Source organism: Homo sapiens, chromosome 22 (assembly GCF_000001405.40).
Source record: "Homo sapiens chromosome 22, GRCh38.p14 Primary Assembly".
NCBI lineage: Eukaryota > Metazoa > Chordata > Mammalia > Primates > Hominidae > Homo > Homo sapiens.
In genome coordinates this window covers 27841052-27860824 of record NC_000022.11, presented here as the reverse complement: position 1 = coordinate 27860824, position 19773 = coordinate 27841052, and the positions used below count along the sequence as shown (strand labels likewise).

Genomic DNA, 19773 nt, shown 5'->3' with positions numbered 1-19773 from the left:
AAACTGTGAGGTGTAGTCATTTGTGGAAATTGAAGTCTGTATGTATAGGATTTACCTCCAAATATTTGGTAATTACAGATTATTTTTGCTGTTGCATCACTTTTCATATCTCCCTTCTATTGAAAATACCTCAGTTAATAAACAGTGCAGCTCCACTTGCCAATATCTGAAGATACAGAAGAAGGCTGAACTTCCTTGTCATTTTTTATTGTGCCTCACCACATCCACAGTGGGAGTGCGGTAATGGTGTTATGAGAACCCTTATGTATTAAAGACACTATTGGTTTGATGTGAATAGAATTTGGTATTTAATATGAAATCTGAATAGTGTTATTTGAGGCAGAGCAACATACCTATTAAACTTTAGAGCTAGGAAGTAACTTGGTCTGTGGAAGGAGGGTTTACAGCAGGGGAATACTGCGGCTTTTGCTAAAATGATTTCAAATTTTCAAATATCTGAATTAAACACATGAGATTGTAATTTTCTTCATGTATGTCTATGATGTCGTTATACAACAGTCAATTTTAATGAAAACATAAATATTTAAGTCATAATTTCTCCTTTTCAATTTTTCTCATCTAGAAGGAGCTGGCAAACAGCCCTGACTGTCCCCAGATGTGTGCCTATAAGCTGGTGACCATCAAATTCAAGTGGTGGGGACTGCAAAGCAAAGTAGAAAACTTCATTCAAAAGGTAAAATCTGCTCAAAATGTGGTGACTTAGATTTAGGATGAGATCGGAGCTAGCTATTAATGGGATATCTTCTCTGTTATTACTTTTTTTCCTCCTTTATGATATGAAAATTATTGTCCCTACATAATTCATTTCAGCCCTTCTTTATACCTCAAAGCAGCAAAGACAGATGGCAGCAGAGGTTTTAAGGGACTTTCTTTGGAGACAAGCACAGCAGCTTTTTGTTCAAAGTGCTTACCTTATGGTTTGCCCAGCGCTTCTGTAGAGAACCCTTTCCCCATACAGCACGTCCCCAAGAGGACCTGGTGTTCTGATCCTGACTGGAGGGAGAGAGCGGGCCCAGCCTGCTGAAGGACTCCCCTGCCCCATCTCAGCTGGACCCTTCCCCCTACCCTCCATATCTCTCAGAATATGTATGTGTGCCTTGTGCTGTCACAGGGGATGTCTTCTTTAGAGGTCTTTACTGAAAAATGGGCACACTGTGAACTAAGGTACACAATCTGAGGATCCAGATTCTACTTGTTTCTTTTTTATGTCTTCTTTATTAAAGTGAAAGTAACATGGGCAGTTAGATCTAGGAGGAGGGGAGAATTGGAATTTTATAAATGCACACGGTTGTTACTACCTAGGAATGTTGAAACATTTCCTTGGTGTTTACTTTTCCTGTAGGGCGAATATTTATTCTGTTATTATTATAAAGAAGCCCTCATTATATCTCAGATCTCCACAATTAGTTATGTCTGTTTCATCATAACTTTTCTATTTTTAAACTATAGCTGCTGTAGTATTTTATAAGACAAGGATCTCAAAGTGCTGGAAACTTTGATTATTCATGGGCCTGCTTACAGTCAGCATTCTGTAAATATTGGCATTCTTCCTTCCTCTCGGATCATAATCATAGATTAACAATCCAGTTCTGATAAATAGAAGTCACATATGTAATTGATAAAGTCCTTTCTATTCATGGAAGAAGATTTTTAAGTTGAATATTGTCCAGAAGTACTTACTGTTCCATGCACTTTTCTCTCTTCTTGGGAAAGCTGAATAAAACTTAAATAATCCATCAATTGAAACCGCTAATTATATACATGGTTTTTAAATATATTTATAATAGTGGCAGCAACATGTTGTGTAGAAAAATTAAGGGAGAGTTTGTAATGATTCTTAATTTAATAAAAGAACCCAGGACTCTTTTCTTTCAATGCATTATTGTATTCCACCTCATAGTGAATGTTAAGAATGACAATATATAGTTTTATAGCAGAAGAAATCTAGTTGACCTTTGCTCATTGACATTTAGAAAAAGGTAAAAATAAATCAGGCCCAGCAGGAATGTGTTGGATTAGGTCATACACACCGCATTTTTTTAGTTTCTACTAGATCATGACACCTTTGCCTAGGAGATTATTTTTCATTTCACAGGGAAAGTTTTTTTTTGTTTGTTTAATTTTGCTGGACACAATGATAATTAAATGGAATTATGATTTCCACAAATCTACAGAGTAGTCTTTTTGAACCAAATGTGTAAATTTCATGGGTTAATTGGAACATGTAAAGTTAATGTGTCATTAATCTTAGGTTTTTGTCATCTTATGCTACTTTTTTGTTGTTGTTTTAAAAGCAAGAAAAACGGATATTTACAAACTTCCATCGCCAGCTTTTTTGTTGGATTGACAAGTGGATCGATCTCACGATGGAAGACATTAGGAGAATGGAAGACGAGACTCAGAAAGAACTAGAAACAGTAAGACTGGCTGTTCTATGGCAATTCTCTAATTTTCCCTTTTCTAAAACTGTATACATGCTTGGTAAATACAGAGTTAGAATTAGGAAGAGTGTTGTTAAAAATCATTCCCTATTCTACTTATTCTCATCAAAATGGAGTTTCTTAGACACTGCTATTCCTTCACATATTCTGATCTCTCTTTTGTTGAGCATCTTGCGTGAAGGTAGACTAGAGTTTTCTCAGTCTAGAATTGGTTACCTGTTAAATATCTAATGGTTCTGTATTCTTTCTTACACACTAGCTTTAGTTCTGTAGGCTGGTTCCTGGTTCACAGTCGTTTTAGACACTTTGTCAGACTAAGTTGCTTTTGGCTCAGTTTGTATCACAGCAAGCTTAACAAATGTTAACATGATAAGTCCTAGTTCGCTTTTTTTGTAGAAAAGGTAAGGCTAATGGTATTGTTACTAATTCTGGAAATGCCTCCTCTGCTTCCCCCAACTGGCAGTGATCCTTATTTCTTCCTAAGCTTTGGGCAGATTCAGGTGATCCTTGGGCAGGAGGTCAGCATGCCACAGTTCAGTGTTACAGCCCATCCCAGCTGCTCCCCACCACCAGTGGGCAGGGCCGGCAGCCAGTGGGTGTCTTCTCTCTCCTCGGGATGGATTCTTCCCTGGCTTCCTCTTGCATGTGTCTGGTTTTGTTTTTGCCCTGGGCCATGCTTGTCTTCAGTTGGCAGTAAGGCCCCATGGGTGAAACAAACCCAAGGAATGTCCAGGGCCTGCTAGTGGTTTCCATGTGGTCATCTCGAGTCCTGCCAGCAGGTCCAGTTTTGGAAGCCCTGCAGGTGTGAGCGTTTGACAGACGCCTGCGTGTGAGGCAGAAACTCCATTTAATCACAGGAGAATGGCAGCAAATCAGATTCTTTGGCACAAAAGGAAACCTATTTTTCTGGCACATAGCATCGTAAAGAATCTGTTTAAAATTGCTTACTTTTGGTGATTACAGCAGATCTGCTTCTAATTAGTTTTATATAAACCTTCTGAGAGGACTAGGACATATTTTCTTTATAAGGCAATAAAATATTTTAACCTTATCTTATACATAAAGTAAACTATAGGCAGACTCCAACTTATGAATGGATTTTGTTCCAAAAAATTTTAAGTTGATTGTTTGAAATTTGGAACATATTTTCCCATAGAGACAATGTTATAAATTAGGGTTTGGTTTCTAGACTAGCCAGCATAATATGCCTCTTTGACCCCAATTTCTCATACTAATATTAGGACTCTGAGTTCTGGATATAGGGAATAGGGTGATGAGATGGCAAGAGTGGAAGATACCCCCCTCATTCCTTATTTTTAGTCTAGCCACAGGCAAAACACTTAAATAGGCAAGAGCAGATCATGGGCACTTCCTACCTTTCTTTCTAGGCCTCTCTCCCACTTCTGTGTTCCCTTTTTCAAGAGTCAGGTGCCTTTCTCTGACTCTAACAAGCACCCCCCTGGCCCTCGCTACCCTATCCAGTTTTAGTCCCATTTGCCTTGTCTGGTTTCACTCCCTCCAAGTGCCCAAGGCTTCAGGAATACCTGCCAGCTCTGCCTTTGGCTCTTCCAAGCAGCTGGTGGGTGTCCACTGAACATGAAACAGAAGCAGCAAGAGACACCCAAACACGCTAAGCCCATGATGCAGCACTGGCATTTCCTACAAGGATTTACCAACAGCTCAAACCCTTGGGAAAGAGCCCTTCTCTCAGTTTTTAATTTTTATGCTGAAGAACTGTGTGTCACATGGGGAAGAGTAGTTACCATTGACCAGGTGATAAGCCCTATCTGGTTTGGACTCTAAACCCTACCTATCTCTGGACCCCTTGGACAGAACTTGACTGAGATTTCTTCCCCCAGGGAAGTGCTCTTGCTTCTCTAACAAGTCCTCAGCCTCACGATACCTGAACACAGAATGGTCCCAGCCTCAACACGCTGTGACCCTCCGCTGTGGAGCTGGTGACTCTTGCTCTCACCTATGGCAGTGGGCCTGCAGGTGCAGCTGCTGCTCCATGCAGATCAGTTATTTGTGAGTTGGGAATTGCACTCGAGAAGAAGGTGTAAGATAGACAAGTAAAAGCCCAATTCCTTAGTGTCACCATTCTTATACCCACATTGCTGAAACTGATTAACCCCCTCATAAAGCTGGTGGAAAATCTATCATTGGTTCAGAGTGAGGGTACATAGCAGTTGCTTTGTCAAATATCTCAAAAACATTTTAAGACAAATTTCACCATTAAGTGGTGCATCTTAACGTTGAATCCCATTTAAGTTATTTTGCTGTAGGTCATTGGGGAGTGCTTGGTTCCACACACAGAATCAAGATGCTGCTGCTTTGAGTCCTAATGGTGGCTTTGTGAAAGCATCCTCAGAATCTGGGCAGCATCAAGCCTGCAGGCCAAGAATGCCTACCCAGAAAGCACCTGCCTCCTGAAGAGGCATCCCATTTTAGAGTCCTCTTCACACGCAGAAATTTCTTTTTCCTTGAGGTCCTGACCCCTGACACCTGATGATAGATTTTAATGACATTATAATGCTCTTAATTCACAAATATTTTAAGAATTGGATTTCTTTCAAATGGGTTTTGGCCCTGGAGAGAACTAGCATCTTGAGAGGTTAGGCACACGAGGAATGCCCCTGCCTATGATCTGCAGGGAACTGCCCTGGAGTTGAGGCTCAGCAGCTGAAGGAGGACTTTAGGTAAACATTTTACCTGTTTGTTCTTAACTGGCACCTCCGGTTCCGGGGTGGGGGTGAGGATGTGTTGAGTTTTAACGTATTTATTGCATTTGTTTGTTTTCTGTTCATTTCGTTTTTTGTTTTCTCATTGAGTGGTGTCACTTGTCTGGAGGCTATTGTTATGAATGCCTGTCCTTTCTAATACATCTGTGTGCCCTTCATGGTTTGCCATACATTGTTTCTGTGCTTGCCTTTTCTCCCTTTCATTCTCCCTCCTTGCCTTTTCTCCCTTTCATTCTCCCTCCTTTCAGTAAACTTCCTTTAAAGGACTCCACTGAGAGACCCTGTTCTCAGAAGCAGCAAAGAGGTGTGGCCCACACCCTCATGGCTTGCTTGTCTGGCCTAGGGACTATGCAAATATGGACCAGACCCTTGGGGTATTTTCTCACATTATATTGGCAAACAATTTGTTTACCCATTGGCTGTTTTTGATAATTTTTTATCAGTCTGCAGGCTTTTGTTTTTTACAGTTAAGGATAGATAAACCTTTTTTGTGCTAAGAAAAGCCTTTTGCAAGAATGTCTTCAAACCAAGGTTATTTGAGGGGCCACAGAACTTCATTCTTAATGTGGATATGGTTATGAACATCACTTCATAATCTCTTCTAGATCTTTTTTCTCCCCTTGCTTACTAACCCCTATTTAGAGTCTGATTTCAGCAGCTCACAATTTTATTTTACGTTTAGATGCGTAAGAGGGGTTCCGTTCGAGGCACGTCGGCTGCTGATGTCTAGATGAGTCCCCTGTAGGGTCAGAGACAATGTCAAACTGTGTAAGTGAAGACCTGGGTAAAAAGATGTTTCGAAACCTGTACCTTTTTGGTGATGGGCAGTTAACTTGCTGAGCAGAAGCTCTAAGTGTTAAATGTGGTTTTATTTTTAGAATTTAAAAGATAAATATTTTAGAAATTAATAGTGAACACTTATTAATAGTCTTTAAAAATTTTACCTGTGGACCAGGTTGAATTTAGTAATCCTGGGTTAGTTTTTAGTGTTATGGGTTAGAACCCAGCTGCCAGGTGCTGTTACTCATCATGTAGCACATTGTCCTGGAAGCCAGCTGATTTTTCAATACTGAGTTAATTGACCTGGTTCTTTGTAGAACCATTTGTGGTTAGTAAGGAAATATGCAAAATCACTTGAGATCAAATAAAGATCCTCTATCCCATACCATACGAGCCAACCTCAATAATTTATTTTGGCTGCAATATTTTCTGTGCACCAGAAAGTCTTCCTTGATATTTCGTCTTCAGTTGTTACAGTTAGCTTTACTCTGCGTAAATGCACTTTAGTTTTAATTTATGGTGTGAACCATTTTTGTGGTCTTATTTCTCTAACACATTATATGCCCATATAACAAATTTTCCCAGAGATGCAAAAAAAAAAAAATCAAAATCTCCCTCACAAATTGAAACCAGTGTGAGTAAACAAAAATCAACAGTGTGCTGTCATCATTTGTTTATACTGAACTATAATGTTTATTATAAAGAGAACGAGATGTAGCACTCCCCTCCCTCCACTGTGGTTCTTTGCTGCCCCACATGAGCTACCTGCTCTTTAATTTTTGAACATTGGGATGAATGAAATGTTCAGTTGTGAGAAAAGCTAGTTGTGCCAAATAAGAATGAAGTAACTCTTCCAAGATTCCCCCCAAACACTTTTAAATTCCATGTTCATTAAAAAAAAAAAAATTTAAGTTATTGTTACTTTTGTTAAACTCTCCTAAGTTTTTGTGATTTATTTCTGCCTCGACTTTATTTTCCCCTCTGATGAGACAATATATTGTGGCATTAGTAGTAAGACCAAAATCTTTTTGAACAGATGAAAATTGTAAGATGCAGTAGTTGGGGTACATTTTCTGCCAAAAGTTTTGATGCATTTGGAGAGTGTGTGTGACGAGCTGCTAACATTTCCTGTCTCTGTATTTTAACACATTTTGCACTGTCTTTCACTTTTCTTACAGTTACGTAATCAAGGTCAAGTGAGGGGAACAAGCGCAGCCAGTGATGAGTGAAGAAGAATCTGACCAGTATCTTGCAGTGTTGACGTTTCCCAGATGTGTGCTTGTGATGATACACACACATGCACAGGTTCTCAACCACGTGTGTATATATGTATGTGTGCATATGTCTGTAGCTGTATATAAAGCGCATGTAGAGCTACAGATCCAGATACACACACTTGTGTATATATGTACATACAGACATACTGAAGGGATTAGTACAATTTCTCCAAAGTACTGTACCTATCTTCAGCAAGAATGCAAAAGAAAATATTTTCAATATATATACCTGGAACAGATTTTAATAATTATCAGAGTAATACCATTAATGGACAAATTGACTGCAATGTAATACTAGCTGGTATGTTTCATAAATGTCAAGCTGTGGACCAACATATATAGCCTTTTATTATTTTTCTCTTCTTTTAAGTCAGTCTGTTATAAATTTTTTTTTAGTCCCATAAGCAGTAGACTCCCACAGAAAATTTCTTCAAAATTTTTTGGTGTTCCAATGAATCTGGGATGTAAACTCTGAATGTATTTATAACTATTTATTTCTGGATGGTCATTATCTTGTAGCCAAATTTGACAATATAAAGTAAGGAGCAAAGTTACAGGCCAGTTTTTACTTGTTTGCCCTGAGGGAAAAATCCTTTTAAAAAAAATTTCTGGTTTTTATTGGATTTTTGTATTTTAAATTTCAAATATTTTTCTACATCAAACCTAGCAAAAATGGAGATGACGGTTTCTGATTTATAATAAATACTAGACAGTTTTCAGGCTCCTGTTAGACAAACACATTGATGAAGAAATTAGTCTTAATAGGATTGTAGGCTGTGTAGAAAAGTTGGAAATATAGCACTTCATGGAGTCTTGTTTTGAAGATGACAGTTTTCTGTAACTACAGCTTGGAAACTATGCAAATGGTCTAGATTCCTCAGAGCTCACATGATAGGATATAGTTAGTGATGACATTTTGCTCTTCTTGTGGGAACACACACTTCAAGGAGGAGATAGTGACTTTGAGATAGGAACAGTTTAAGATGCAGTGTGAGTCTGGCCTGCGTGCGGTGAGGAGGCCCCGCCAAGAGACTGGTGGACATCTGACTGTGGGATGTGCTCTCAAGTAGGACGTCATCAGGACAGATTCTGAATAGGCATCATGAGAGTGCTGGTCAGAAACGGCTGCCACTTTTTTTAATTTAATTTTATTTTTTATTTAAAGGAAGGAACAATAGCTAGGTAAGATTTTTATCAGCTTTCTCTGTCTGAATCCAGTTTTTCCTCTGTCAGTCCTGGAAGCTTGAATAGAATTATATTGTTGAAGCCTTCAGGTCACAAACTGTCTTTTGTAACCTCCTGTCCCTCCTAAAACACGCCAACCCCTGCAGTCAAATCACATTAGTAATCTGATTTGCTGACAGTCCTGCCCTGCCTGCTCCTCGTTTTCCCACATGTCCTGCATCCCTCCCCCACTGGAGTGATTTCAGTGAATCAGACAAGGAAGGATGTGTAGGATCACTACTGCATTGCAATACCCTGTTATCCTCAGCAACAAAACCCACATTTCATACATCCTTTGTGTACTCAGGATAAAGACTGATGTTTACTCTCTGGGCACTGTTGTAAGATAGGTTTTGTCAGAGCATAATCATTGTCTGCAAAGTGTTTGGTGCGAGGAAGATTATTGCTAATTTTGTGAAATAAAGAGTCTAGCCCTCTCCTTTTAATGAACTTAACTCTCGCTGGCATCTGTAGTATCATTGGGAGCTTAGGCGCACATGGAAATGAGAGCCCGGCGCATGGATTTTAATGTTTTTCTAACAACTGTGGAGATTTGAGGGAATGTGTGGTGAATGTAAAATACCTAGTTTACTTGCCAGTCTCTTGTGTAAATTACAGTAAAACAAAGTAAATGAAATTTAAACAAAAAATAAATTTGATCACAAAATGCCACTTGTGTGCTTGAGTGGTTGTTTCCCTGAGCCATGTCTGGTTTGAAACACCTCAGACCACTACTCTGTTTTTCATGAATTCTGTAATTCGCAGCACTACCAGTCTGGGAAAATTATTTTGTTTTAATTGCAAATTCTTATTCTTGAAATGTACCTGTGCCACACTAAGTGGTTACGTTTGATTTCTTAAGTAATTTTCTGTCTTTAAAAGCTAAGCAGTAAACTAAAGGATTATATATTATTAGTCTCAGTGGTTTTCAGATTTATTTTTAAAGGGGAAAACAGGGAAAACCCATCGTATTTGTAAAGCACTTAGGATTTTGCCGTTTGTTTCTGATTGTTTGAAGATTAGGGCTTTTTGGTGCGTGGTCACCTTTCACCTCTCCTTTTAGGATTTAGTCCTTTCCAGTCTGCTCTTTTTGTGCGTGTCACAACCATATTCTTGTGGTTCTGGCTCATATTGTAGAACTGCTGAACATAAGGAGAGGTAGCCAGCTGTATGGTCGGATTTAATATATAATGTTATATGTTGGGATATCTTAGTGGTTTGTTTTCTGAGGTAAGTTTCTTAGTGTTGTGTTTGAGACATTGTGTTTGCGTTTATGGCGACACTGTCATTCATGCACTTGGCCATCTGAGCGTGGATACAGCGGGCACTCGGGTCTCTCTGCCAAGATGGATGAAAGCAGTGTACATTCCAGTGTGGGAGACAGACATGTGGACAGGTAAATTACAAGGCAGTGTGATAAAGAGTAGAGAGTTGGTTGAGAGAGATCTTAGACACCATCCTCATTGTATAGATGAGAAAGCAAAAGTCACCAAGGCAGCCTGGCAGCTGGGACCCAAGAAGCCTAGGGTGCCAGTCCTTGGGCAGTGCGGGGTTAGGCACACCCAGGGCCCTCCTGGTTCCTGGCTGACTCTTGGACTCTTTGTCTCTAATTGGAGGCCATGATGCCCAGCTGTAAGGTGGTCAGCTTCACTTGAGACACTATATCCTTTAGCACAGCGGGGGTGATTTCTTCCCTCCTGTTTCATTCATTTACCAAATGGCCTCCTAAATGATCTAAAATCACTTGGATCTTTTGTCTTTGTGGACCTAACACCTGGCTTTTAAAGTTTAACTTTCTGTCCCCTCTTCAGCTTGCTAAATTGAAAAGTGTTGCAGCCCAACCTCCACAAATCTTGTCTCAGGAAATAAGAGACATTTGTTAACATTTGTTTTGTACCTCTCAGCAGCTTAGTTGACAAGGGCACCGTGTGGGATTTCCTGTTCTTGCTCATTTGGAAAGAGAATGTTCTTTGTTCTTAGACCCTCAGCTCTCATGTGAGAGCCATAGAATGTTGCGAGGTGGAGTTCTGTGGATACAGAAGGAATGTTTTCAAGTTAGACTTACTGCCAATGTTAGGATTTGGGACTTTGCATGATTGGGAGGGAGAGGGAGTGCTGGAGAACAGGTTAAAAGTTGTCCCGCTGAGCTTGGAGCATCTCCTGCCAACCCGGAGTGCTTCCCAGGAACCCTGCCAGTGTCACTTGGGGTTATGTTTTCTGATTTGGAAACATTAAGCCGTAGCAGGTCTCTTCAGAACTGGTTCTTCAGCCGGATTGCCCTGGAAAGCAGAGATTGCAGCTCTTCTAAAACTGCCTCTCACAGAAGTTCCAAGGCCAGGCTAAATATTGAATGCAGTACTCAGCAGCTGGGACACCTGATGCTTTGGTGGCCATCCCTTTCTTCCATCCAAAAGGGCCCCCACTGGAAGGCATCTGTTGTTTTAAAAATATTTTAGGACTCATTTTTACTTCCCCCACTCCCTCAAGATCACATACACTCCCCAGTGGGGGTTACAGCCTCTTAGGAGGAATCGCTGCTTCATGACTTCCTCAGGCATTTACATTTTTCTCTTCTGTTGACTTAAATCATGAACTAAAATTTATCCCTAGAGGAAAAAAGAATGCTTCCTCCATTCTGGGCTCTTCTCACTGTACCCAGACTATGTCTTCAGGACTCTCATCTCTTGTCAGTTCTGTTGTGCTAGAAAGACTGGTTTGAAAAAATTCAGCTCGTGTAAACCTGTGCCCTCCACCCTGTGGGGAACCCATGTGGGGAGCCTTTGAAAATATCACTTATCAGCTGGGCGCAGTGGCTCATGCCTGTAATCCCAGCACTTTGGGAGGATGAGGTGGGCGGATCATGAGGTCAGGAGTTCAAGACCAGCCTGGCCAACATAGTGAAACCCCGTCTCTACTAAAAATACAAAAAAAAAAAAAAAAAAAAAAACAGCCAGGCATGGTGGCGAGCACCTGTAGTCCCACCTACTTGGGAGGCTGAGGCAGGAGAATCGCTTGAACCCGGGAGGTGGAGGTTGCAGTGAGCCAAGATTGTGCCTCTGCACTCCAGCCTGGGCAACGGAGTGAGACTCTGTCAAAAAAAAAAAAAAAAGAAAATATCACTTATCTACCAGTTGTCTTTCTGTGGCTTGGGTTTGGTGTGCTCTCTGTTCAAAGGACGGGGTAAATTGCTAAGAGAATTCCTGTTCTCTCTTCCTGGAAGATCATTGAGATGACTGCCTTCTCTCCCCTACCCATTCTTCAAAGCTCTGGCGTCAAGTGGCACTTCCTCTAGGAGACCTTAACTTGGAATGACTCCCTCTGCAGCAGTCCACACCCCTCATTTGGCTCATACAGACTACGCTTTGGTTAATAGATGTCATCTTTAGATCTCTGTGTGTTTTGTGTCCCAAAGAGTTTGGGAGCTCCTTAGAGGTAGGCGCCACAGCTGTGCCCCCAAGTAACTTTCCCTGATGGAAACTGACTCTGAAAATGGCTCCTTTTTACCTATAACAGATATCTGCCTTCCCTGTGCCAAGGACCCTTTTGAGTCCTGGGGTTCGAGCAGAGGGATTAATAGCCAAAAAGTCAGGAAGATGTAACTTCTGCCCTCAGAATTGAAGCCTACCAACTAGCAGTGGGAAGTAGTAGTTTTGGTAGCTGATTGTAGAAAATTCGATGAGAACAGAGGAGAGAGCTCCAAGTCTGCATTTCCCTCCTTGCTTTCCAGGCACCTAAACCAGAGGTTTCAGAGACTGCAAACTAAACGAATCTAAAGCAAAACTCTTTTTAGTCCTTCCTCCTTCCCCAAAATGTACTGTCTGCATTTACTATTGGTTAACTGTATCACTGGCTGTGCTGCCCAAGCCAGAAATCCTAACTGGCCCCTAAGTCTAAAAAACGCCCCCAAATGACTGAAATCCTGCCCCTTTTGTATGTCCTGGTCCAATGCAAACTATGCTCTGATGCACCATCCTCTCATCTAGGGTGGGGTCTGAAAAGTTCCTGTAGAAGATTTTAGGCTTTGTGGGCCATATGGTCTACTACAAATTATTCAGCTCTCCCCTCACAATGCAGAAACATCCACAGAAGACACATAAATGAGCACTGTACCTGTTCTAGTAAAACTTTATTTACACAGAGAAATGGCAGGCTGGATTTGACTGGAGAGGCCATGCCTCATTTGCCAAGCCTTGGTTAGGGGATTGTGTGTATAATCAGTCTCTGCCAGAGTTAGCTTTGGTGCTGTGCCCCTTCTGGAACACGTGCATGACTTCCTGAGGCCCAAAAAACTACTGCAGCCAAAGCCAGTGTCCTTCTGCCATTCTTAAAGTGAAGCCAATGAGGCTCATCAGTCTCACTGCCTGTACAGGGTCAGTCACAGGTGGAAGGAATCAAACTGATTTCTCTGCTGCCCTAAACATGCACATTGACCACAGAAATAGCTCTAAGCACCTGATCCCCCACCAATATGCACAGAAAGCTGAAGGGCAGAGCTATGATGGGTTAACAAAAGCAGTTGATGTATGGAATAGAATGAAGATAGGCTGGGCGCAGTGGCTCACACCTGTAATCCCAACACTTTGGGAGGCCGAGGCGGGCAGATCACAAAGTCAGGAGTTGGAGACCAGCTTGACCAACATGATGAAACCCCATCTCTACTAAAAATACAAAAATTAGCCGGGCGTGGTGGCACATACCTGTAATCCCAGCTACTCAGGAGACTGAGGCAGGAGAATGGTGTGAACCCTGGAGGAGGAGGTTGCAGTGAGCCGAGATGGCGCCACTGCATTCCAGCCTGGGCGACAGAGCAAGACTCTGTCTCAAAAAAAGAAAAAAAAAGAAGATAATTCTGATTAAACTCTTCTCAACTGGCATAGTTTCTCTCTACATCTGTTGTCCAGAAAATGCTGTCTGTGGCTGTTAAACTAAATCCTACACTCATAAAAAGGCTCATAGCTATCCTGTACCTTTTCCACGATTGAAATACAACTCCCTATATGAACACCTTACCCTGGGCTTGGGGTCTTGGCTTCTGATGGGATGTGCTAAGTCCAGGCCTTTGCTTAGAAAATGAGCCCAGAGTTTCTGCGAGTCAGTGACACTCCACCTTGGGTTGAATCTGTTTACTTCTTGGATTTCTAGGAAGCAGTAAATCGCCATGACATGCTTCCGCCTTGTTGATCCCTTATATATTCTGACACCACCTGCTAATCAGTCGATAGCAGAATTGCCTTGCACTCCAGACTGAGGGAGGTTCATGAAGTGGAACGAAGGAGTGACCTCCTGTGTTTATTAATGTATGTGCTAAACAAAAGCTTCGCCTCCAGGCATCCCATTGCATGCTGGCTCTCTGCAGCCCAGAATAGTGATGCCAGGTTTTCAGCGCCGTCTCCACTTTCCCATGGCCCGGGGAGTCCCTGAAACAACTTTTCAGCCTACCAAGAGGTGCTGCGAGTGCTCCCCACCCAATGTGTCCTATAGTCTTCTCTCCCAGTGTCATTCTAAGGGAGGTGCTGTGTAGGACGAGAGACTTCTCCCAAGTGAGGCTGGAGGGAGGTTCGGGATCAAGCCCAGAACAGCCATGCATAGACGTCACTCAATCCATTCATTCCCTTAAATCAGAGGTCGGCAAACTTTCTATAAAGGGCTGGATAGTACATATTTTTGGCTTCGTGGGCCATACAGTCTCTGTTGCAACTAAACTACTCAACGCTGCCTTTATAGTGGGAAAATAACCATAGACATTACCTAAATGGGCATGGCTGTTTCAACAGAACTTCACACAAACAGGCAGCAGGCCAGATTTGGCTCAAGGGCCACAGTTTCCCAAACCCCTGCTTTAAGATTCTTTTCATGGTTATTCCTCTTAACATATCAGATTGCAAACAATAATAGCAGTACCAACCAGCACTTAATAGCTAGCACCTACTGTAAGTCAGGTACAGCACATAATTGGCCTCTAATCTTCACAATCACCCTATGAAGTGGGTGCTGTCACTATCCTTTTATGCTTGAGGAATCTGAGGCGCAGATTAATATATTTTGCCCCAGATTTTACTACTAAAAGTGGTGGAGCCAGGGCTGTCATCCAGGGGCCACTTCAGAGGTGCTCATCCTGCTGCCTTGTCTTTGAGAACTGCAAAGCGCCATGCTTGTGGCGTTCAGCAAGGGGCGACCCTAATGACATAAATTCTGTTATGGACACCCTAGGCTCCCAAACACCCCTTAGGAGTAAACTTCCATGGCTGATTCTTCCCAGAGCCAAGAAAACATTTCTTCCTAGACAGTGTTGAGCATCCCCTCAGTCTTGGTGTCAGGAACCCCCATGTTGCATTTTACATCCAACCGAGACACCCTCCTCAGGCAAGGCTTTCTGCCATAACTCCTCATTCCCCCTTCCCACCCCTCATCCTTGGTTTTTGCAATGGTGCTGGGAGGCTTGAGGGTTTCAGGTCTCCTGTATCCATGCCTCCTATTGTAAGCCGCCTCGGAGTACTTGGAGGGCAAGGTTTAATGATAATGAAATGCAGAGACAGGAACTGTGCTGCAGCAGGGTGAGAAATCAGAATACCTGCCCTCCCTCTCCTGCCATGGCCAGGCAGGAAGTCTCCCGGCCTGCCAGCATCCAGAAGGGAGCCTCTGTGGTGGTTTTGTTAGCGTGGGGGGATCGTGGGTAGACGCCTCCCTTACCCCCAGAACTGTCTTCAGTGTTTTACTTGACAAGAGAATCTTACTAAAACTTTTTGTAAGACACAAGGCCTCAAGAACCCTTTCTATATGTGACTGTCCAGCGGTGCCTTCTAACACTGGGGATCAGATTTTTTCGGTTTGGCATCTCATGGCCCATGAGCTCACTCCCCTTCCTCCACACAGTGCGTGCCAGAAAGCCCATGTGGGGGTGGGGGCTGTATTTCAGGATTCCTCCCGGCCTCTTCCAACCTGACAGGCTCAGATTTTCCACTTGTGCGATTGAAGTCAGCTCCTGCATTCCTGCTGGGGAGCTCCCTGCCTCAGGCGGGGGCTTCTCCCACTTGCCCTGCGATTCACTCTCCACGTTGGTCTGCTGTCCCCGCAGGTTATGCCGCAGGGCATCCAGTATCCTTGGGGATGGGGGGGTGGGCAGGAGGGGGACTCTGTGGGTGACTAGGCAGCCAGTCCCAGCCTGGCTCCGGGCCACCAAGAGGAGATGGCCTCTGTCTGCTCAGGCCTTCATGGGAACAGGGAAGAGACCTCTGGCCAAGCAAGGAACAGTGGGATTGCTGTTGATTGGGAAGAGCTTCGTTCCATTACTTGTCAACCTATCTCAAGAATGTGCAGCTCGGTGGTCGTGACTGACGTTGCTGCTGGGGTTTTAGCATCCAACACCTGCATTCCAAGCCCACTGCCTCCACTTACCAAGCAACAGGCCCCCAAGTGGTCGCAGTCCCCCTGAGCCTCAGTGTCCTGCTGGTGGAACTCGAGGTCATTATACCAACACAGAATGTGGCTGTGCGACAGGCCTGGCCACAGTGATGCGTGGAAATCTCTGCAACACTGGGGTTGCCTCTTGGTTGGTCTGTTATTCAGCGAGGGTGACCAGCCATTCTGGTTTGCCCAGGATAGAGGGTTTCCTGGAAGGCTGGACTTTTGCTGCTAAAACCAGTACATTCCTGGGGGAACTGGAACAGTTGGTCACCCTATTGTGAACCCCAAATGTCAGCATTCATTTAAAAACAAATACGAGAGCTGAACCAACATTGTATAGGAAACGGGCAACCTTGTTTTGAAACCTGATGTGTCCCAGACCAACTGCCTAAACCCTCCCACTTGAGTCCTAGCAGGGCACGAAAGTTCCCAGGGTGGGGGTGGGGAACAGGTTATATGGAAGCCGTTATCCCAGGAGGTGCTGGCCAGGAGGTCACCGGCAGTGCTTTCCTCAGGCAGGATGATGGAGAAAGAGTGAATCCCTCCTCTGTGCTGTAGTGCCTCATTCCATCATGACAGCACCCTGGGGAGTGAGGAGTTACTGCCCTCCCATCTCCTTGAGCAGACATAGGTCAGGAAGCTGCTCTCAGGCCGGGCCCATGCCTGTAATATCAACCCTATGAGAGGCTGAGACGGGAGGATCACTTGAGCCTTAGAGTTCGAGACCAGCCTAGGCAACATAGCAAGACCCCCATCTCTACAAAAAAAAAATAATAATAAAACATTAGCTAGGTGTGGTGGTGCACACCTGTAGTCCCAGTTACTCAGGAGGCTGAGGTGGGAGGATAGCTTGAGCCCAGGAGGTTGGGGCTGCAATGAGCCAAGATTACACCCCTGTACTCCAGCCTGGGCAACAGTGAGACCCTGTTTCAAAATAAAAGTAAAAAATTTTTAAAAGCTTCTCTCAGCTGCAAAGAGTCAAGAGCTCCTGTAGCCAAAGATCCCTATCCAAAAGGAAGAGAGAGCATATCATTCCATCTTTGATTTCAGGACACAGACAAACCTCTCTGGGCCCAAGAGGCCCAGCCACCCTCTCCATCTCTGCCTAGCTGTTGCCCCTCACCACCAGGCTGCAGCCAGGATAGCCTTCTTCCAGGTTCTCTGAGACCAAAGCCCACAGTGTGTCCTGTAGGCCCGGAGCCCTTTTCCCTCCTCTTCATCCTTCATCCTCAGCCCCAGGGCCCTGCCCTCCAAGAAGCCTCCCTGGACCTTCCGACTCGACCAGCCTCCCTCCTGGGCACCAAGCTGGGAGCTCCTTAAGGCCAGATCCCAGGAGTGCAGGGCACTGGCCATGGTAGGCTCGAGGCCTGCCCATTGCCTGCCACAGACTAGCCCGTGCTCAACAGACCTGTTTTGAATGAATGGAGTGGAGAAACCCAGAGTTTAACGGCTCTCTTCCTATACCTTTCCCACGGGTCACCAGGCAGCCTCCCTGTGACCATTAACCATTTCCCTGGCCCTGCCTGCAGCATGACCCAGGCCCCACCCAGATAGGAGCCACTGTACCTCAATTCCCTCCCATCCTTTGCGGGGAAATATTTCTGTTTTATGACGAACTCTGCTCCTGATTTCTCTCGCGTTATCTTAATGAATTAACTGGGTCCCCATAGTTCCCCTGGCCCCCCGCAGTTTATGAGCTGTACGGCAATCTCTGCGATCTTACTCAACCCCACACAGTTGTTGTGCTGTTTCCTATTACAGTAATTGGCATAAACTTTATTCTTTTGCAGAGAGATTTTTTGGCCCGCTGAGACTGCATAACCATCTGCCATAAATTGAGACTAGTACGGCTTATTTTGGTGAATGCAAAATTGGATCTCATTCTTTACTCTGTGGCTTGATTCAACTTCCAGATGGTTAATCCACATGAAGTAATAGGAATGCACCACAGCTCTGCTTAGCTGAAGATGGAGACGTAATATTTATTTGCTGATGTGGAGGCCTCTGAACGCTGTCCTGTTGGGATGTCAATATATAACACAGCAGCACAAAAATGTCAGCTTGTTCCACAGGCGCGACAGTGTTCCTCTGAGTTGCCATGGGGAACCCCCGGATGTAATTTTTTTTTTTTTTTGTCTGCCCTTGACCTAATCTCAAGAGGTTTTGTTCTCTCCTGGGCTGTTTCTTATCAGTTATGTCTGCCCGTGTAGCTGGCTTCACATCTGCTTTGACTTTAGTGCCTGTGACATTTTCATTAATACTTTTCCAAGGTTGAGCCTTTATTCCAAATATCCTGCAGCTCACGGAAGCCATAGCTCAGCTGTGCCCAGCTGGGGGCTGCAGGGAAATTTGGCCTGGCAGTATGGGCAAGCTTGGACCTCTCCACTCAGTTAGGCTCATCAAATCCTTTTTAATTTCTACTTCTCCTTGCACTGGCCTGCTGTGCTGGGAATGCTCTGAAGCAGATCTAGGTGAGCAGATCTGGGGTCTTAGACCTCACCAGCACTTTTACTCCGGGGGGCCTTGGCTGCCCCCTCTGCCTGGATTACCCATCCTTTGCCAGCCAGCCTTGCCTGCACAAACTCCTCTGGATTTCAGAGTCTGTCCCAGGGAAGATGAGAACTCAGGGCTTCCTCTCTGTCCTGACCTGGCCCTGCAGATTCCCTGTGTCTGAATCAACTGGAGAGTGTGTTAAAAATAGAGACTCTTGGGTCTAGGGGGCACCAACCACCACACTTTGCCCAGGACTGTCCTGGTCTTAGCACTGAAAGCCCCACCTCCTGTAGAACCCCTTAGATTGGGGGCAAACTGGGACGATGGGTCACCCTAGCTGGACCCACCTACTGATCCAGACTGGCAGAACAAGAACTTCTGAGGGCTCAGGCCTAAAGACCTGCATTTTAATTTGTTCTCATGTGTAATTCTGATGGTGATTCTAAAAGCCGTTCAGCCACAGGTGCCTGCAGGACCCATGCTTTCTCTCTCCAGTGCCTGGCACACAGTGGACTTAGAGGACATTCTTACGATTTTAGTACACAACACCATCATCATGTACTTAACGGTGTTTGTCTCCCTCTGTCCGGGTCCCTTTTCTGTTCTCAGTTCCCAGCCCTGTGCCTGGCTTGCAGTCACCACTCAGAAAAGATTGACTGGAGGAATAATTGGATACAAGCAGATATTCATGGTAGAGAATGGGACACACAATTCTTTGCCACACACTTTTCCAAAGTTCTGGGGTGGACTGTATTAGAAATTAGATCACGGAAATTCTAGTAGGGCAGGCGTCTGATCTAGGCTCTTTTTTCAAAGGAATGAAAACCTTGAAAGTTTCAAGATGGAACAGATAAGGAATTAGACCTAAGAGATTCAAAGACAGAATGGACTAGAACTGTGAATGTTCTGAGATGGAATTGCTCTCTCTTCCTTAAATCGTCATGGGAGCTTCTATTGGCAGAATGAATAAGAAGCTGGACCCCTTGTACCTGATTAACGAAGTTCAACATTCCTGGGTGCTTTCAAATGTTTAAAGTTCGAAGCTCCTCCAGTACAGCTATGCATGAAGGTGGACTCAAGTGTGAGGTCTCCAGGCTGGGCAGTGGGAACTGGGAAATAGGCCAAGCCATGGGGAGGGAGTGGGAACCAGTGTCTGGGTCCAGCAGGATCCCAGTACCGTGATCCTTCACTCAACTTACACAGGGCTCACCCAGGTCCTGACTATCTCCCCATCACTCCAAGTTGCCCTGTTGCCTTGAGCAGCAGATTTTGCCACCTCTGTTCCAGTCTGTGCAGTGAAGATGAAAAGACCCTTCTCTTCTCTTGAGGTGAGGCTTCAAAGTAGGTGCAAACATACAGGATTATTTGAATGGGCTTTATCTTTCCGTGAAA

General features: G+C 44.0%; 1 protein-coding gene across 5 annotated transcripts in view, besides 3 other annotated features; it reads left to right on the top strand.

Annotated features, from left to right (window-relative positions):
* Positions 1 to 9156, top strand: part of PITPNB (phosphatidylinositol transfer protein beta) — a 67588-nt gene extending 58432 nt beyond the window's left edge. For 3 of the 5 annotated variants that reach the window (NM_001284277.2, XM_011530052.3, XM_047441269.1), the window contains exons 9-11: positions 584 to 694; positions 2316 to 2438; positions 7162 to 9156. In NM_001284277.2, coding sequence (NP_001271206.1) covers positions 584 to 694; positions 2316 to 2438; positions 7162 to 7212 — 285 coding nt within the window. In that variant the 3' untranslated portion in view covers positions 7213 to 9156. Of the gene's footprint in view, positions 1 to 583; positions 695 to 2315; positions 2439 to 5885; positions 5972 to 7161 lie in introns of all 5 variants that reach the window. The other 2 variants (NM_012399.5, NM_001284278.2) reach the window with 1 other exon arrangement.
* Positions 10022 to 10540: an enhancer, noted in NCBI's record as "OCT4-NANOG hESC enhancer chr22:28246273-28246791 (GRCh37/hg19 assembly coordinates)". NCBI's record gives its function as "activates a minimal SCP1, AML or CMV promoter by ChIP-STARR-seq in primed H9 embryonic stem cells {active_cell/tissue: H9 hESC(primed)}" and the evidence as "EXISTENCE:reporter gene assay evidence [ECO:0000049][PMID:30033119]".
* Positions 10230 to 10524: a silencer, noted in NCBI's record as "tiled region #2862; HepG2 Repressive DNase matched - State 6:EnhF". NCBI's record gives its function as "represses a minimal TATA promoter and a strong SV40 promoter by Sharpr-MPRA in HepG2 cells {active_cell/tissue: HepG2}" and the evidence as "EXISTENCE:reporter gene assay evidence [ECO:0000049][PMID:27701403]".
* Positions 17095 to 18500: an enhancer, noted in NCBI's record as "VISTA enhancer hs1271". NCBI's record gives its function as "enhancer in: limb[3/4]" and the evidence as "EXISTENCE:transgenic organism evidence [ECO:0001131][PMID:17130149]".